Source organism: Homo sapiens, chromosome 1 (genome assembly GCF_000001405.40).
Source record: "Homo sapiens chromosome 1, GRCh38.p14 Primary Assembly".
NCBI lineage: Eukaryota > Metazoa > Chordata > Mammalia > Primates > Hominidae > Homo > Homo sapiens.
In genome coordinates this window covers 41316201-41334978 of record NC_000001.11, presented here as the reverse complement: position 1 = coordinate 41334978, position 18778 = coordinate 41316201, and the positions used below count along the sequence as shown (strand labels likewise).

Sequence of the window (18778 nt, the reverse complement as noted above, 5' to 3'; positions counted from 1 at the left end):
CTGTCTCTCTCTCTCTACACATGCAGAGGAAAAAAAGGTCCTAGGTACTCAGTGCAACAGTGGTCCTCTACAGGCCCAGAAGAGAGGGCTCACCAGAAACCAAATCAGCCAGCCCCTTGATCTTGGACTTCCCAGCCTCCAGAACCATGAGAAATAACATTTCTGTTGTTTGAGCCAACCAGTCTGCGATATTTTGTTATAGCAGCTGAAATGAACTAAGACACTTGTTATTATGTGTCTTTTTGATTATAGCCATCCTAGTGAATGTGCAGTATCTCACTGTGGTTTTGATTTGCATTTCCCTAATGGGTAATGATGGTGAGCAACTTTTTAATATACTTATCATATCTTCTTTGGAGCAATGACTATTCAAATCCTTTGTCTGTTTTTTCAATTGGGTTATCTTTTTATTGTCAAGTCTACAGAAACTCTTGTACTCATATGAAATGATACACACAAAGCCTGTTTGTTGCAACACTGTTTATAATAGCAAACAGATTGGGAACAATCTTGGTCTTCATCACTGGGAACTGTGTAGTTTATCCATACAATGAAATATTATGCAGCTGTGAAAAGAGAGAGAAAGGTCACAGAGTAATTTATGGAAAGTACCCCAGGATATATTGCTAAATGAATAAAAACAAGCAAGGTGTAGAACAGAATGTATAGTATTCTTTTTTCCAAGAAGAGAGAAAAATAATATATATTATTATTTCCTTGTATTTTCTTTGCTTTTTTTTTTTTTTTCTTTTTGAGACGGAGTCTAGCTCTGTTACCAGGCTAGAGTGCAGTGGTGTGATCTCGGCTCACTGCAACCTCCACCTCCCAGGTTCAAGTGATTCCCCTGCCTCAGCCTCCAGAGTAGCTGGGACTACAGGCATGCACCACCACGCCAGGCTAATTTTTTGTTGTTGTTGTTGTTTTTGTATTTTAGTAGAAACGGGGCTTCACCATGTTGGCCAGGATGGTCTCAATCTCCTGGCCTCATGATCCACCCACCTCAGCCTCCCAAAGTGCTGGGATTACAGGCGTGAGTCACCGTGACCGGCCACTTATATTTTCATAAAGAACCATAGGAAGGACCCACAAGAAATATTAAAACATGATTATCCATGTGATAGGAGATGAGTTAACAGGAACAAGGATAAAACTGAAACTTTTTATTGTATAGCTGTGTGTATTATTTTGATTTTTGAACCTTTTAAATGTATTGCCCAAAACACACAAAAAATTATATATGAAAAGCTTAAAATTTACATAGAGTGACCAGCTCTTCATAGGTGCTTCCCTTGGGCGTGGGCCTGATTCTTTCCCCTGCAGATAGACGTCCTTCCTGGCAGGACAAATCTGGGCCATGACCACACAAAGCTCCAAGTTTACGTCATTCTGGACCCCAGAGGAAAGATCAGCATTTTCCTGCCCAACATTTGTAGATAAAAATCTCAGGGAAGGACTCTGATTGGCTCTGCTTCATCACATGCTCATTCCTGCGGCAAGAAGCAGCAACTGTAATTTACTGAGTCATCTGAGCCACAGTCACAGGAGTGGAGGGGGTGAGGGGGCGTCACTTCTTCAAAGAGAAGAAGATGCTGTTATCAGAGGGGGAATGGGATGCTGTACAGATCAAAACAACAGGCATCCACCCCAGCAAATGACAGTTCTTAGAGTGTGATACATGTCATGATATAGGTCAACACAGTGGGCTGTGAGAGCCCAGAGGAGGCAGCAGTCTAGCTAGGAAGCCTTCCTGGAGGTGGTGACGCTCTGTCTAGGTTTTAGATGATGAGTAGGAGAACTTCTTGGGAGAAGAAGAGAAAATGTGGACAGTGTTTCAGGCAGAGAGAACAGCAACATGCAGAAAGATGCAGAGAAGGAAGGTGGCGCTATGGGCTGAATTACGACCCCCCCCAAAATTTTTTTTTTTCTTTTTTTTTTTTTGAGACAGAGTCTTGCTCTGTCACCCAGGCTGGAGTGCAGTGGCACAATCTTGGCTCACTGCAACCTCCATCTCCCAAGTTCAAGCAATTCTTCTGCCTCAGCCTCCTCAGTAGCTGGGACTACAAGTGTGCACCACCACGCCCAGCTAATTTTTGTATGTTTTTTTGGTAGAGATGGGGTTTCACCATGTTGGCCAGGCTGGTCTCGAACTCCTGACCTCAGTTGATCTGCCAGCCTCGGTCTCCCAAAGTGCTGGGATTACAGGTGTGAGCCACCATGCCCAGCCCCAAAAATCATTTGTTGAAGCCCTAACCCCTAGTTCCTCAGAATGTGACTGTATCTGGACATGGGGCATTTAAAGAGGTGATTACATTAAAATTAGGCCCTAAGGTGGGCCCCAATCCAGTTTGACTGGTTTATTTATTTATTTATTTATTTTGGAGGCAGAGTCTTGCTCTGTCACCCAGGCTGGAATGCAATGGCACGATCTCAGCTCACTGCAACCTCCGCCTCCCAGGTTCAAGCAATTCTTGTGCCTCAACCTCCCAAGTAGCTGGGACTATAGGCATGCACCACTACACCCAGGTAAGTTTTGTATTTTTAGCAGAGACAAGGTTTCGCCATGTTGGTCAGGCTGGTCCTCGAACTCCTGGCCTCAAGTGATCCACCCGCCTTGGTCTCCCAAAGTGCTGGGAGTGCAGGCGTGAGCCACCATGCCTGGCCTTGACTGGTGTCTTTATAAAAGGAGGAAATTTGGACTCATAAAAAGATACCAGGGCTGGATGTGCACAGAGGAAGAACATGTGAGGACACAGTGAGAAAGCAGCCCTCTGCAAGCCAAGGAGAGAGGCCTCAGGAGAAACCAAATCTGCCAACACCTTGATCTTGGCCTTCCAGCCTCCAGAATTGTGAGAAAATAAATTTCTGTTGTGTCAGCTGCTCAGCCTGTGTTATTTCATTGTGGAAGACTAATTAATATAGGTAGCATGATGCATTTAGGAAGACCTGACTGTTCCACCTTGCTGGGCTGCAAGGTGCAAGGCAGCACTGGCAGGTTCCTCAGCAGGACAGTGTTATAAGCACAGTTTTGATCTGGGGAAACACATAGTTTAGTGGAAATAAAAATAGCTCATGTTTCCTAAGTGTCTATTCTGCTAGACATTGTGCTAAGCTCTTTATATGTGTTAACTTGTTGAATTCTCACAACAAACCTGTAAGTACTGTTATCATCCTCTCAGTACAGTAGAGAAAATTGGGGCACAGAGAGGTTAAGTGACTTGCCCAAGATCACACAGCAGACAAGTGATGGAGCTGGGATGGAACCCAGGTCTGTCTGACCCCAATCCCTGAGAAAGAGGATACTCAGGATCTGGTGACTGCTTGGAAGTGGGTGGAAGTGGGTTGTGGAGGGGGACGTGGACAGTGACTGAGGTTTTCAGCCTGAGTACCTGGTGGTGCCACAGACTTTGGGTGAATAATAATGGCATTTTCCCCAAAATACTCCTTAAATAATGGCTAATATTTTTGTTTTCCCGAAAACATTTGGTGCTCATAGCTACTGTTATCATTGCAGCTCCGGGGAAGGTGGGGGCGCTGTGCTCTTCGGAAAGGCTGTGTTCCTCTGGGCTTGCCACTCCCACAGCTCCTCCCCCAGTGTTCCTCACCATGGCAATCCCTCCAAGCTTCGGTCCCAGGCCCACTTCCTCCTGGAAGCCCTCCCCCTGTTGCGGCTCAGGGTCGGTCTTCTGATACTTGTCTGAGTGTCTCTGGGTAGCCGCTTGGTCCCCTGGGGTAGTTTGTGCATAGGAGGGAGTCCATTCATGTTCATGGTCTCCCTCCCTCCCTCCTCCCTTCCTTCCTTGTCCCTCTTCCTCTAGAAATCCATGGCATCCTTGCCATCAGACCTCTGCGACGATCCCACCTGGATGACAAGAGACCCCAGTCCTCACTTCTAAGCATCCTCAGGCAAATATTAGCTTACCTAAAAGCCAGCAACGAATTGGAGTAGGTGAAGCAGTGGGTGTCAGAGGCAGGACTCCGAGACTTTGGTGGGGCCTGCAGCCCTGCTCCCTCCGGTGGAATGACCGGTGAGCTGTCTTGGCCTTAGCTTGGACCCCTTTGCTTCCTTCATATCTGGGGCCTGGCTCCTCTGAACCATGGGGGTTCTCATTTCCTCTATATGAGATTTACAGAGTAGGGACTAGGCTGATTGAATGTACAGACAACTCCTCAGGTCGGCCTGGCCTCTGCTAAGGGGTAGGGACCAATTAGGCACCTGCAGTGCTGGGCCCTGTACTGAGCACACGCAGGAGAAAAGGAAAGGAGCAGGCAGCCCTCTGTTCTGGGAGGGGACATCCTCTGGCTGAGGGCAGGGCAGGGAGGTGGGCCGGGAACTTGGGGCATAGCCTGCTCCCACCTCCTGTGTCTCCATATGGAGAGGGGCTAAGAGGTTGCTCCCCAGCCTGAGGCCTGGGTCAGACCCAGCAGGGCACGCTGTTGGGATGGATTAAGGAAATACTCTGCCAGGGACTTGCAAGCAGCCGCCTCCTGACCACCTGCCCTTCTCTGCCCCGTCTCTGTCACCCTCTCACACACTGTCACACTTATTAAATGAGATAATCTGAGTAAAGCACTTAGCATCCTGACTGGCGAGCAGTGAGCACTGGATAAATGTGAGGCCCCGCCCCCACCCAGTCTGTCTGCACACGCTGCATGCATGGGCCCTGGCAGCAGCACTGACACCCCCCTCCTACGCCCCAACTTGCAGAGACTCACAAACACCCACTCACGGGGGAACCCTTGTTTACATTGTACACACTGTCTCACCCCCACCGCATTTCTTTCTCTCCATTGAACTCTCTCAGCAGGCTCCTGGGCAGAGGACAAGTGGCCCCTGTGGAAAGGGCAGGACTGGGGAAGACACTTGTTCCCCATGAGCCAGCCTGGTCCAGAAACCTGAATCTGAACAAGCTGGAGAAGGGGCCTGGGGCTGGCAGAAAGGATGATGGAGGAGGCTGGAGATGAGCAGGCTGACCCAAGCCTCCCCACAGGGACCAGGAGAAAGCTGAAATACAGGCTGGCCGGGGCCAGGGAATGGGAAGGATATAGAGAGGCATGGAGAGCCTCTACAGGACCAAAGTAAGCTGGTAACATGGGTTGGCAATGGCCATCCCTAAACCACAAGGCCTCTTCCTCCTCAGGTCAGAAAGTAGGATCCTGAGGCTTAGCAGCCTAGGGCTGACCGGAGCCTGGGAGGGTTGGAGAGGAAGGGAGCAAGGACTTTGCCTGTACCAATCTCCATCTCCAAGGGTCATGTATATGAGCCCTTGGTCAGAGTCAGACATAGGCCTGGAAGAGACAGACAACATATGGAAATAAACAAGACTGGCAGCCTGGGTCATCAGAAGAGTGGGGGAAGGGAGGGGAGCCTGGGCTCCAACAGACACTCAATACCATCAGCACACACCCACCACAGATTCCCTGCCCACATACAGACACACACAGCCCACACTCAATACCATCAGCACATGCCCACCATGGACTCCCTCCCCACATACAGACACACACAGCTCACACTCAGTACCATCAGCACACGCCCACCATGGACTCCCTCCCCACATACAGACACACACAGCTCACACTCAGTACCATCAGCACACGCCCACCACGGATTCCCTCCCCACATACAGACACACACAGCTTACACTCAATACCATCAGCACATGCCCACCATGGACTCTCTCCCCACAGACACACACAGCTCACACTTAATACCAGCAGCACACTCCCACCACAGACTCCCTGCCCACATACAGACACACATAGTTCACACTCAGTACCATCAGCACACACCCACCATGGACTCCCGCCCACATACAGACACACACAGTTCACACTCAGTACCATCAGCACACACCCACCATGGGATCCCTCCCCACATACAGACACACACAGTTCATACTCAGTACCATCAGCACACACCCACCATAGACTCCCTCCCCACATACAGACACACACAGTTCACACTCAGTACCATCAGTACACGCCCACCGTGGCTCCTGCCCACACACAGACACACACAGCCCAGAGACATTACCCATGTTGAACAGACCACCTAACAGCACACAGACACACTGAGCTACACAGTATTGACACCTCTCACCTATCTCTCATATCTGTATATGTACAGTATGCACAACAGTGCCACATTTGCACCAGCAGCAAAGCACCCCAACATACACTGGACATACACTCAAGCCAAAGCCTAATAGAGCCAGCAGAGATTTTCCCCCTGCCCACATGGATAACCCAGAAATAGCACACACTTTCTTACAATGCAAATGTACACACACACACCGGTCCACATGCTCTCAGGGACATACGCACACATACACATGCACATATGTGCCCCAACATGCAGACACTGCTCCTTCTACTCAGATAGTCCCGGGTTTTCTTGTCTTTCTCCCCAGTGTCTTTCCTGATCTCTATTTCCATCCTGTATGTCTCTTCAAGATTTATTAGGCAAGACCCCGTCAGTCCATGGCTGGCCTCCTTGCCTCACCAAGGATGCAGGCACACACACATGCACGCATGCACACACACGCACACATTGCACATGGTCATGGGATGCCCTGGGGAGCAGCCTTAGTGCACAGGGAATTCTCCTGCCATGCTGGGCAGCAGGAAGAGAGGGTAGGGACTTCACAGGGTGACCACCCCACCCCAGGATGGGGCCTCCTGGTTCCTTGTTGGACCTCCCAGCTGCCCTTACTGCTCTTGCTACTTATTTGCAGTTCCAGACCAGCCTGTGCCTCTCCCGCCAACTTTGCCCTTGCACATGCAGTTCTCTGCCTAGAATGCCCTCCCTGCTCCAGCTGTCAGTGGCTGTCAGACTTTTGAATTTCATGGATCAGTTAAAAACTTCAAAAGAAAGTGTGGGGAATGATCGAAGGTTGCCAAGTTTTCATTTCATTAGTAAAGATATTTAAAATATAACTACCATCCTCTAACCACCATCGTTTCATAAAAAGGATGCTTTAATACCAACAAAGCAGGAAGGACATAATCTCAGGATAAAGAGTAATCCTTTACATTGAACACATTTAGCTTTACATAAAACCCATTGTGTTGTCCTTTTTCTCATTTCACCCCATGAACCACTGGAAACTTTGTCACAGATCAGTGTTTCAAACCACGGAATCCTCAGCTCACATTGGGCCTCCTACAGGAAGCCTACTCCACAGCCTCACCCCGTCACCCCCTAGCTCCCCCCAGTACCAGTCACTGTCTGCGAGACTCTGTTGCACTCTGCACATATAGCCACAGTCATTATTGTTTACTAAGGGCCCACCCGGTTAAGCGCTGCCAGGTGCTTAACACGGATTATCCCATTTTATCCTCATAACCCTGAAAGGTGAACATTTTACAGATGAGAAACCATAAGTGGCTTCCCCCAATCCTGCAACCCCTGCTGGAGGCATGATTGCTGGAGGGTGGTGGAAAGAATCTCAAAGACAGATCTGGCTGCTAATCCAGGCTCTCCATCCCTATTTGTATGATTTGGGCAAGTCATTTCACCAATCTGGGTCTCAGTTTTATCATCCATGAAATAGGAACAATAATCCCTACTTGGCAACATTGTCCTGAAGGAGTGCATGTAAATCTCCCAAGACAGCGTCTGGCACATAGAAGACACTGGAAAATGGGGGTTAGGCCCCCTCCCACATTCCCCGTTCTCCCCTCCCCAAGCCCAGTGACTTTCTCTACACCTCATTCTCCCAATTGTCCATCTCCCTACCTCTCTCAGGCTCCTGTGTTAAACTCTATTGCTCGTCCCCTCTTCTAAAAGTGGGAGTGGCCCAGGGAACAAGCCTTGGCTCTCTTCTCTCTTCTATCTAGTCTCCCTCACCAGCTGAGCTCATTCTGCCCCATGGCTTTAACTCACTTTTTCTTTCTTTCTTTCTTTCTTTCTTTCTTTCTTTCTTTCTTTCTTTCTTTCTTTCTTTCTTTCTTTCTCTTTCTTTTTTTCTTTTTTTGTGAGACAGGGTCTTATTCTGTCACCCAGGCTGTACAGTCGTGGCTCACTGCAGCCTCAACTTCCCAGCTTAAGCATTCACCCCACCTCAGCTTCTCAAGCAGCTTGAACTACAGGCTGCGCCACCACAGCTGACTAATTTCTATGTTTTGCAGAGATGGGGTCTCACTATGTTGCCCTGGCTGCTCTCAAACTCCTGGGCTCAAATGATCAGCCTCAGCCTCCCAAAGTGCTGGGATTACAGGCATGAGCCACTGCACCTGGCACCCTCTTGGCTCTGAATATCATCTACACATTGACTTTAAAATATAAATCCCCAGTCCTGATCTCTTCCCAGGATCCAAACCTATATATTCAACTGCCTCCTTAACACCTCTCCATATGGCCTCATGGGTCTCCCAGACTTAGTACATATGAAACAGAGACTTGATTCCTCTCGCCCCAAACCATTCCTCTACCAGTTGTTCCATCTCAGTAAGTCACACACCATCATGGCCTAGTTGCTCAAGTTGACCAGCCTGGCCAACATGGTGGCACCCCATCTCAACTAAAAACATAGTGGGCATGGTGGTGCACACCTGTAGTCCCAGCTACCTAGCTGAGGCAGGAGAATCGCTTGAACCCAGCAGGCGGAGGTTGTGGTGAGCTGAGATCATACCTCTGCACTCCAGTTTGGGTGACAGAGTGAGATTCCGTCTCAAAAATAAATAAATAAATAAAATGAAATAAAATAAAAAATAAAGAAGAAGAAGAAGTGCCCTTTCAAAGTAAAGTTGTAAGAAGCTTTGAAGCTTCTTCCCAGGCCTCTTGTAATACTCATACTTGGAGATCCAAGCTGCTATGTAGGAAATCCAACCACCCTGAGGCCGCCATGCTGTGAGGGAACCTAAGCTCACCGAGAGGCCACCTGGAGAGGAGAGAAAGATGCCTACTCAGCCTCCAATTGTTACATATCACAGACACCTTTGAGTCACCCCGGCTGAGGCCCCAGACACCGTGGGGCATAGATTAGCCATCTCCACTGTGGTCTGTCCAAATTCCTGACCCTAGAATCATGAGATATAATAACAACAAATTATTGTTTTAAGCCACTACTTATCAGCATAGTTAGCTATGGAGAACTAAATAATTCAGCAGGAGGATTACTCTGGGCTCGTAAAATTAGTTGGGGTATGTTCTCTCGTATATTTTCTGAGAGTTTGTGTATGATTGGTATCATTTATTCCTTAAATATTTGATAGAATTTACCAGTGAAACCATCTGGGTGGGAAATTTTTATATTATAAATTCAATTTCTTTAATAGATATCGTTTTCCAGATTTTCTATTTTCTTTTATGGAATAATCTTCATAAATGCCAATAAATTATATCACTCCCCTTATGAAAGCCCTCAGTGGCTTCCCTCTGCACAAAAAATAAAACCAAAGTCCCTTCCACAACCTATAAGGCTCTTTATGATCTACCTCCTACCTACTTTTCTGATCTCACCTGGAATCACATTTCTAATATTTACAGGGCTGATTCCTTAATATCATTTATTCATTCATCCATTCATTCAGTTTGTTAGTTATTAAGTTAGTTAGTTAGAGATGGGGTCTTGCTCTGTCACCCAGGCTGGAATGTAGTTGCACAATCATAGCTCACTGCAGCCTCAAACTCCTGGGCTCAAGCAATCCTCCTGCCTCAGCCTCCCAAAATGCTGGGACTTAATATCATTTACATTTCAGTCCAGGTGTCACCTCTTTAGGGAAGTCTTTTAGGCCAAGTCAAAATTACCCCCTCAATTGATCTGTTTCATATTATCTATTTAAAAAATTTTATTTCACTTATCATTATCTGACTTTATCTTTATTCTTAGTTAACTCATCTATTATCGCTATGTGTTCACCACACCTTTTAGAATTTCAGGTCCATGTAGGCAGGGACCTTGCTGGTCTTACTCATGGCTGTGTGCTAGGAGCCTAAAACATATGGCCATAGATGGCAGTAACTACATATTTGCTGAATCGTTGGCTTGTTGTGCTGGCCCCCAGCCCTGTGCTCTTCTGTGATCAGTCCCCAGACATGGTTAGCATCAGGTAAAGGAACGGGTAGAGTTTCCAGTGGCCACACCTCCACAGTTTTTTTTGTTTTTTTTTTTCTCCTACCAGTGTCTGACTTCAGCCTGGCTCTCTTTCCCATCACCAGCAGTCAGGAGGCATCTTCAAGGCCATTTAGGAGAAGAGATCCAAGTGTAGCACCTGGACACAAAGCTGTGGCTACTCATTCTAGTTCAGAAGCCTCTGAGTCCATGAGTGTCTTTGAATAAATCACTTCCCCTCTGTCTCTCACCTGACACATTGTAGATGCTCAATCATTCTCCAGTAAAGATCACTTTACTGTGAGATGGACCCACATTTATATAGTTCTAACTTACCCCAATACCCTTGTTATAGATGAGGAAACTGAGGCACAGAGAGGCTAAGTAGCTCCACCAATGCCACAGAGTAAAAAACTGGAAGTGCTGGAGCTCATAGATTTCCCCCTCAATTTATGATCCCACCAACAAGGGCATCAATTTCAGAAATTAACAGCTGCAAATGATGGCATCAAACCGGACGCCGCAGCAGCCGTCCGAAGTGCATCTCCAATTCAGGTTTATCTTCATTAAGCAAGTAATTCATTACCGGGCAGTAAGCATTCACATCAGAGCGAGAATATTAAAAAAGTAATTATATTTTTTCACAGTGCAGCTTTCTGGGTAAATTGTATGCAAATTGCTGTCTAAATCAGGCTGGCAGATCCCGGGCAGGTCTCGGCACCATTTGGGGGAAAATTTGGGAGGTTGGACTAGTCACTCTCTGCCCACTTTAGTGAGTGTCCAGCACAGAGTCTGGCATTGAGACAGAGAAGGTTTAAAAATAATAGCTTCTATTATTTCTTAACTCCATCAAGCCTTGGTTTCCCCATCTGTAAAATGGGGCTTCTCCTAGGACTCAATAAGGGAGTGGAGAGGACAGTCTCCAGCACAGGACCTGCCCGGCATGGATATGGGAGGCAGATGACTTGGGAAATGGCAAGACAACTTCAAGGAGGAACACAGGGTTGTATCAATGAAGCACTGATACCTATGCCCAGAGAGAGGGTCAGGATAGCTGCTGGGGTAGGGCAGGGGGTGCTGGGGTAGGGCAGCGGGCGCTGGTGAGGGACCAGGAGGCCTGACTTTCTTCTCATCCTGACTCAGCCACTAAGTCATGTGTGACCCTAAGTTCTCTGGGCTATGCTTAATGCCCAGCCGTCTTTAACAAGGATAATTACCCACCAGGTGCACAGAACCATCACTGCTCCCAGGTCACACTGACCTCTAACCTGTAGGAACTAGAAGGCCCATGCTGGAAAAGAGGGGCTTGAAGAGCAAAGGCATCAATCCTCTCAGTTTACTGATGGGAAAAAGAAGCCCAGAGAAAGGCATCAGAGACTCAGAGTCACACGCCAGGTAAGTGATGGAGTCAGAACCAGAAACCCAGGCCAGAGCAGCTCCAACATGCACTGTCAGTACCCGTCTTGCAATGGGCACTTACGGCCTGTGTTGGAAGCTGTTGCACATGTTGGAACATGTTGCACATGTGGCTTTATCTCAGGGTTGGGAAGTGATCCCGGGCTTGGGTCTGAGAGAGGTTATTTCCCAACTGAACCTTAGTTTCTCCACTTGTCAAATGAGGCAGTTGGGAGAGACATCGCTATGGACCCCTCCCATGAGACTTACTAGGTAGGATTTTTAATGACATCCTTTCCCTTCCCCCAGGGCAAAAACTCTGAGGAGAGCCAGGACTGCCCAGAGAAATAGGGGCAGAAGCGCTGGGCCTGGCTGAGGGCATCTTTGTGCCAGTTCCCAGCCTTCCTTGCCCACACACTGGCCACCAGCGGCGGTGATGGTTTAGGAAGATGCACAGTGCCCCCTTGTGATGGGGGCCACCTGCTACAGAGCTCCAACAGCCCAGGTCACAGGGCCAAGGCTACCCCAGAGGCCGTCTCCAACACACCCACACAAAGGTACAGCTCCAGCACACAGAGCTGTTGGGGGCTATGGCTATGTCTGGAGCTACAGTCACTAAAAGTCCAGCCAGGCGTGGTAGCTCACACCTGTAACCCCAGCACTTTGGGAAGTGGGCGGATCACCTGAGGTCGGGAGTTCAAGACCAGCCTGACCAACATGGAGAAACCCCATCTCTACTAAAAATACAAAATTAGCTGGGCGTGGTGGCACATGCCTGTAATCCCAGCTACTTAGGAGGCTGAGGCAGGAGAATCGCTTGAACCCGGGAGGCGGAGGTTGCAGTGAGCCAAGATCACACCATTGCACTCCAGCCTGGACAACAAGAGAGAAACTCCATCTCAAAAAAAAAAAAAAAAAGTCCAGCTCCATTCAGACTCACACTTGGGTTGGTACACACAGCTACACCCATGGGACACGAAGACAGGAACAGGTGTCCATACCAGCCTGGCCAGATATGGCTATACCTGACCACACGTTGACACACAGACACCCACAACACCCAGCCACAGTTAAGCCTTGGGTAGTCACCCAGCAGCGGCGCACCACACACACTGCATTACCCCATCACACCCAGACCCAGGCCCCTCTGGAAGAACAGGTGCCTCCTCTCTGACCCAGCTCTTGCTCACAAACCTTCACCTGTGCAGACCGTCAGTTCCTCATTCATGGGGCTACTAAAAAAGTCTTCCTGCCACCCGGGGACAGTCAGTTCCCAGGCTACACACAGAAGCACCTGCTTCTGTGCATGTCCAGACACATGTTGCGGCTGCTTCTATATCAGGGAGGCCCTTCTGTTCTCCTGTCTTGCTCAAGCATCACTTTCGAGCATCCAGTCCTGCAGGGGATTTTAGAGACCAATCAAGGCACAGCTCCTGCCTTCTCCCCACCTTGACATCTCTGAGACACAGCCCCAGCAGCAAGCAACCTCGGGCCTCACCAGTCAGGCCTCCTCCCACACCCTTCTCTGAGGCTGGGTTGGGGTGGGTTTAGGAATGAGCATGGGCTTGTGGAGCTTTCTTCAGGCTGTGAAACCTTCCCAGGCATTGGGAGTTTCCTTTCTGACTGGTCTTTCTTTAACTTATCTTTCTAGAAGAAATGCAAGGCTCCCCTGGAAGCCTTTCCTGACCATGCCTGGTAGCACCGGCCCCTGGGTACAGCCATGGTCAAGTTTGACCCAGGAGTCAGGAGAACCAGGTCGAAATCCTGGCTCCTATTCTAATTTCCTGGGTGACCCTGGGCCCATCTAGTCTTTTTTCTGGGCCTCAATTTCTTCTTCTGCACCATGGGGATGGGGCGGGAGGAGAGCACTAAACTGAGCTTGAAAGGACCCTCCGGTCTTATATTTCTCAAACTGTACTTTCCCCAAAGACCAGGACTGGTGACTGAGGCGCCAGAGCCAGACCCCACTCCCTGGTCACCTGCTCTGATGCTTTCCCCCCACCCTGGGCTGCTGACCACAGACACCCCTGGCAAAGGCAGAGCAGAGCAGTGGAAGGGGCAGCGTCATCGGAATCAGGGACAGCTGCGGGCATGCTGTGCTGCTTGAGGACAGGGTCTGGACCTGCAACTTCTTCGGCAGGGCCTGGTGTGCAGGTGTCACTTAACAAACATTTGCTAAATTGAAACCAATTCACTCCTTCCTAGCTGTGTAGTCTTAAGCAGGCAATTTCGTGTCTCTGAGCTTCACTGTCCTCCAGTGTAAGAGAGAGATACCAGCTCACCCCCTGTTATCTGTAGTCATGAGGATTCCTCAAGACGCTGCATCCCTCCAGAAGGCACTGCTCTCGACCCAGCGGGAGCCCCGCCAACAAGTCTCTCTTCCTCCTTCCCCTTCAAGCCTGCGTTCTCACTTGGCTGGCAGAGAAGTGGGACTCCCTAGAGCCCACCGGCCTTGGGGAAGAAGAGCTTGCCACAGGAACGGATGGGAAGGCGGACAGAGGAGGGGCGCGTGTGCCAGCATCCTGGAAATGAGCTTGGCCGGGTGGCGGCAGCCTGCTTCTCACTCTTGCCACACCGAAGGCCCCATAAGGCTCTGAGCAGGCAGCTGGGGTGGGAGGAAAAGAGGGAGGCAAACCCCTTCACCCACAGATACATGCAATCCTAGCCCCAGAGGTAGGGAGTCACCAAGTGCCCACCAAGGGAAAAGATCTGCTCTGTAGCAACCCCTCAGTCCTTCCCAGAGACATTTGCTCAGTGCCTTTTAAAGCTGTGCATTCCCTGGCCAGGGAGCCCTCTCTCTGCTGAGCTAAGCCTGCTCCCAGGCTGCCTGAGTACATCTGCTCCTTCTGCTCACGACAGCCCAGGACATGCAGACCAGCCAGGTGTCCTGCCCTGGCCTCCACCTCCTAGTCCTCTGCAGGCCAGACAGCAGTGCAGCTGTTACTTCTACCACATGGGTCTGAATCCCTCTCACCCGCTCCGACATGTCCCTGTGTATCTAGGCACATGCACACAGGTACACACACACATGCACTCCTACGGGGCCCCCAGGATCCAGTCCATCCCGGAAGGGCGCAGCCACCCTCCCCTGCACAGGGGCTGCTCCCCCTCCTCTCCTGAGTCTCCACTACTGCAGGACTGCCTTGGAAGACAGAGAGCAGGGGAAGGTAGGGGGCCCTGGAAGGACACGTCTCCCACTGAGAGCCCTTCCTCTTCCCCACCCCCTGCCTTCTGCCACTTTCCTATGTCAGGGCCATGCTGATGACACCAGAGAATCCATCAAATGCCACCCCCATGTCAGGTCATGTCACAACATAATTAAAGCATTAGATCTTTGTGATGAAGCCGTTGCCATCAATTCTGAGAGTGACTGATCCAATCTACAGAAAGGGAAAATTTCTCTCCGCCTGCCACAACTGCCACAGCTGGCTTCCCCTCCCTGAGAAGGGAGACGGTGGTGCTTGTTCTATTTAGGGCTCCAGACCTCAGTCTGGGAGGCAGGAACTGAGCCATGTGGGGGGAGGGCCGGCCTTGGGGTGTGTGCCCGTCCTGCCTCTGGGCCACTGGGGAACAGCAGTGCCTGGAGGCCTGGGACTCCTTCAGGCCCAGTCACTGAGCCACTCTGTGACTTTGGGAAAGGCCCTCCCCACCTCTGGATTTCAGTGACCTCTTCTGTAAATGAAAAATGAGGAGGGGGAGGTATGAAGGGTGGGAGGAATATGACTTGGTCTTTAATGACCATGGAGGTCAAAGCTTCAGGAGCATGGGGCCAGGTGGCTCAGGTTCTGATCCCAACTAACTGTGCAGCTGTGGTCAAGTGAGTTCTCTTTTCTCCTTCCCCTCACCCACAGGAGGGGAAATTATTCCTGCCTCACAGGGATCTGGGGGAAATTAAAGGAGACAGGGAATGTGAAAGCCTAACAGAAAAGAAATACCCCACCCTCTTGGCATCCCCAGCCCCATGACCTTCAGCTCCTGGCAGGCTCTTGAGCCCCAGATATTGGCCAAGGGCCTAGAGATTTAGGCCTGGCTGTTTTTTTTTTTTTTTTTTTTTTTTCCTCAGGACTACTAAGTGTGGACACAAAAATACTGGATCTGCAGTGACAGAGGACAGATAGAAGAGATAGCATGGGTAGGAACAGAAGAGTTGTCTGTGTCACTTCTGAGCTGATGTCACCATCAGGAGGTCTAGTGTTGTAGGAACAGGAGCCAGGCCTATGGGAATGAGAGGTCAGGGCTGACCCAGGAGAAAGGGAAAAGCACTGGGCCAAGACCGTCAGTCTGTGGCTGGCACGGCAGGTGAGAACAGGGCAAGTGGCAGAGCCTCCAATCTGAGGCTGTTGAGGGGAGATGAAGACAAAGGCAGAAGCAGGGAGACAAGAGTGGGGCCACAGCAGTGACCCAGACAAGAGATCATAGTGGCTTGGACTGAGTTTCCTGAGGAGTTGAGAGGTAACTCCTAGGTCTTTGGTGAGAGTCACTGAAGAGTTACCATTTATGGAGCTGCCACTTGTCAAGTTTGAGTCGACTATGGGAGAAAAAGGTTAGGGGTGGAAATCCAGGGTTTGGTTAAAGTCTGAGATACCTTATAGCCATCCAGGTGGAAATGAGCAAACCAATGGATGCGCAGTCTGGAGCTCAGGGCAGAGGTGTGTGCTGAGGAAATGCACCTGAGACTTGAGAGTCACTGGCAGAGAGAGAGTCCTTCAACCATGAGCTTGGAGGAGATCCCCTGGGAAGTGAGGGTAGGCCAAGAGAAGAGGGATAAGGACTGAACCTGTGGCACCGACTGCAACATTAAGAAGGAGGGAGCTGAGGAGGAACCAACAGTAGAGGCTGAGAGGGTTTGGTCAGGAAGGGAAGAGAAAAACCAGGCCAGTGCGGTGCCCTAGTTGAAAGGGTTCAGGGAGGAGGTGATCATCTGCCTTAAGGATAATGACAGCTCAGGTAAGATGAAGATTTAGAACTGGCTGATAATGACGAGGAGTAAATATTTGTTGAATGAACAAACAGAATAAACTGAAAATCCATCAACAGAACTGGGGCGTTAGATGGAATCTGGAATGGGACCTGGCCACATGGGTAGAGAATAAGGTGATCCCAGTTCAGCAACAGCCAAGGGGCCTTGGGGTCCAGCATCCAGGGCCAGGTTGGGTCCCCTAACCCCCTCCAGCCTCAGGCCAGGAAGGATCAGTCCTGGGAACTAGGGAGGAGACCCACTGCTGGTGAGTCAGATAATGATGGCTGTAGAGGGAGGTGGGCCTCAGAGACCAGTGGAGCCTGAAGGTTGAGTCTAGACCACAGCTACAGAGTCAAGAGGCAGAATTCAACTGTCACAAAGCCTGCTGAGATGTGTTCTGTGCCAGGTACTGTGAGAAGCATAGAAGGGAGACTCCAAAGGCATAAAACAAGGTCTTTCCCAGAGAGACTCCTGTCTAATGGGGGAAAGACACAGAGGATGGGGAAGTGGAACACACGATAATGGTATCTGCCATCCTTGTAAGATTCCTTTAAGTGCCCTGACAAGCTCTTGGATCCCAGATCCTACCAGGCCCCATGGAAAGAAAATCAGCTTATGTCCAAAGGGCTCTTCCTGGCCATCTAGGTTTTAAGTCTCTGGTTTCTGACCTCACTTCTTAATTCTCTTGTTTCTGGCCATCTGATCTTCTGGACATGACCCTTGGAATCCACTTAAGCGCTGACACTTTAAGGCAGTCATTCAGTCCTTCACACAGGCCCCTAAAGGTCCAACCAAGCTCCTGGCCAGCATGCTGGACACCCACAGCTTGTTCTGAACCTACCCCCATTGCAGTCCTATCCTGGTCCTGCTTCCATTGTAAGAGTGTATGGCAGACACACCCGACAGCAGTAGCATCACTTAAACATACCCGGAGAATTACCCCGTGTGGGAGACATACCCGAATGTGTGTTTGGAGTTCTGAGCTAAGGAATCCGGGAGTGGCCAACCCAGTGATTCATTTTTATCTATGAGGAACATCTAAACTCCCAGCCTGTCCCATGGAATGCGGGCCCTACAGGGTACCCAGGCCCTTTGTTTTGGGTTAAATGAAGGTGGCCAGGTGGAGGTTGTTAAGGGGAGGGTGCTAAGGGAAGGTGCTATATAAACTGCATGCTTTTCACAGGTGGTGTGGTTCTCCATCTAACCCACCCTGCTGGTCTGCTCTGTGTGTAAGTTCCCACTAATTAAACCCCATGTCTTGTTGGCTGGCTCTGAGTCTCTTCCTTGGCCTCTTGAACCTGGCGCCATCCCTACTGGATTTAATAAGGGTCTGGCATGACAACGAGATGTCTCAGGATCCTGGCTTTCTGGGCCACAGAACAAGCTCCTCCACTTCAGGCAACCTCAGCCAATGGACCCCACTCTAGGCAGCTCCTTCAGGCTCAATCTCCAGCCCCCAAATCGGCACCATAGTTGAATCTGAGCTCCTATGCCTTTGGGTCTGCTCTGCCAGGAGCGGGTTCTCCTTCCTGACCACTTGGCCTCTCAACTCAGCTCTGGGCCCCTCCCACTCCCATCCCCTTGAGGAGCACTCCCACCCCGCCTGACCCAGCCCCAAGGCTGGAAGAGAGATGGGCTGTGTTCTAGCAGTGCAGGGTGGGGTGGGGGTGGGCAATGGCTGTGAGAGCACAGAAGGCAGAAGAGTTGATTCTAGCCTGCATCTCCCTCTTAGCCTAGAGCAAGGGCCATGGAGGTTTGGGGAAAAAAAATGGAATCATCACCTTAAAGATGATCTTGGAAGAAAAATCACATAAGGGAGAGAAGCAGAAGGCCGGGACTCCTGGCTTCTGTCTAGAGAATTGGGCTGGAGGAAGGGAGTCACTGATGGGACAGGGGTTGAGGAAGAGGATACACAGACCTCAGGACACAAAATCTGGACTGGGACAGATCTCCAGGGCATCCAGGTCACTCCTGTACAATGCAGGAGTCCCTTCTCGTCCTCTTTACCAAGTGACTATCCAGCATCCCTGTGCACACCTCCACTGATGGGGCACTCACTCTCTTGAAGTTGGCCATCTTATTCTTGGACAGCTCTGCGTTCTCCTAGGTCTAAATCTGCAGTTCCAATCAAGGTCAGAGCTCTGTGCTCTTAGGCTCCACAGAGACGATTCCATTTCTCCCTTCACACTACAGCCTTGCAGAGATGGGAGAATGGTGACCTTGATGCCTGACCTCTGAGGATTTTCTTTTTTATGAGGCTGCTGAACCAGCTCGGGGCCATCCATCGGGCTCATAGTCAAGTCTCGCATCTTGGGTCACCACCTGGAGGGTGTGCAGAGTGGTGTCTGTGCCTGTGTGCCTATATGTA

General features: G+C 50.0%; 1 long non-coding RNA gene across 1 annotated transcript, besides 3 other annotated features; it reads right to left on the bottom strand.

Annotated features, from left to right (window-relative positions):
• Window positions 1-381: 381 nt before the first annotated feature.
• Window positions 382-12129, bottom strand: LOC124904159 (uncharacterized). The gene is made up of 2 exons (XR_007066027.1): window positions 8872-12129; window positions 382-566 (listed from the first exon to the last, which is right to left on the bottom strand). It is a non-coding gene; the product is annotated as an uncharacterized LOC124904159 (long non-coding RNA).
• Window positions 972-1141: an enhancer, noted in NCBI's record as "experimental_8062 CRE fragment used in MPRA reporter constructs". NCBI's record gives its function as "activates a minimal promoter by MPRAs in K562 erythroleukemia cells, with activity observed for both the introgressed and non-introgressed 1:41799595 variant alleles {active_cell/tissue: K562}" and the evidence as "EXISTENCE:reporter gene assay evidence [ECO:0000049][PMID:34662402]".
• Window positions 3428-3722: an enhancer, noted in NCBI's record as "tiled region #968; HepG2 Activating non-DNase unmatched - State 13:Ctcf, and K562 Activating DNase unmatched - State 8:EnhW". NCBI's record gives its function as "activates a minimal TATA promoter and a strong SV40 promoter by Sharpr-MPRA in HepG2 and K562 cells {active_cell/tissue: HepG2 | K562}" and the evidence as "EXISTENCE:reporter gene assay evidence [ECO:0000049][PMID:27701403]".
• Window positions 12539-12798: an enhancer, noted in NCBI's record as "active region_861". NCBI's record gives its function as "activates an Ori minimal core promoter by ATAC-STARR-seq in GM12878 lymphoblastoid cells {active_cell/tissue: GM12878}" and the evidence as "EXISTENCE:reporter gene assay evidence [ECO:0000049][PMID:35858748]".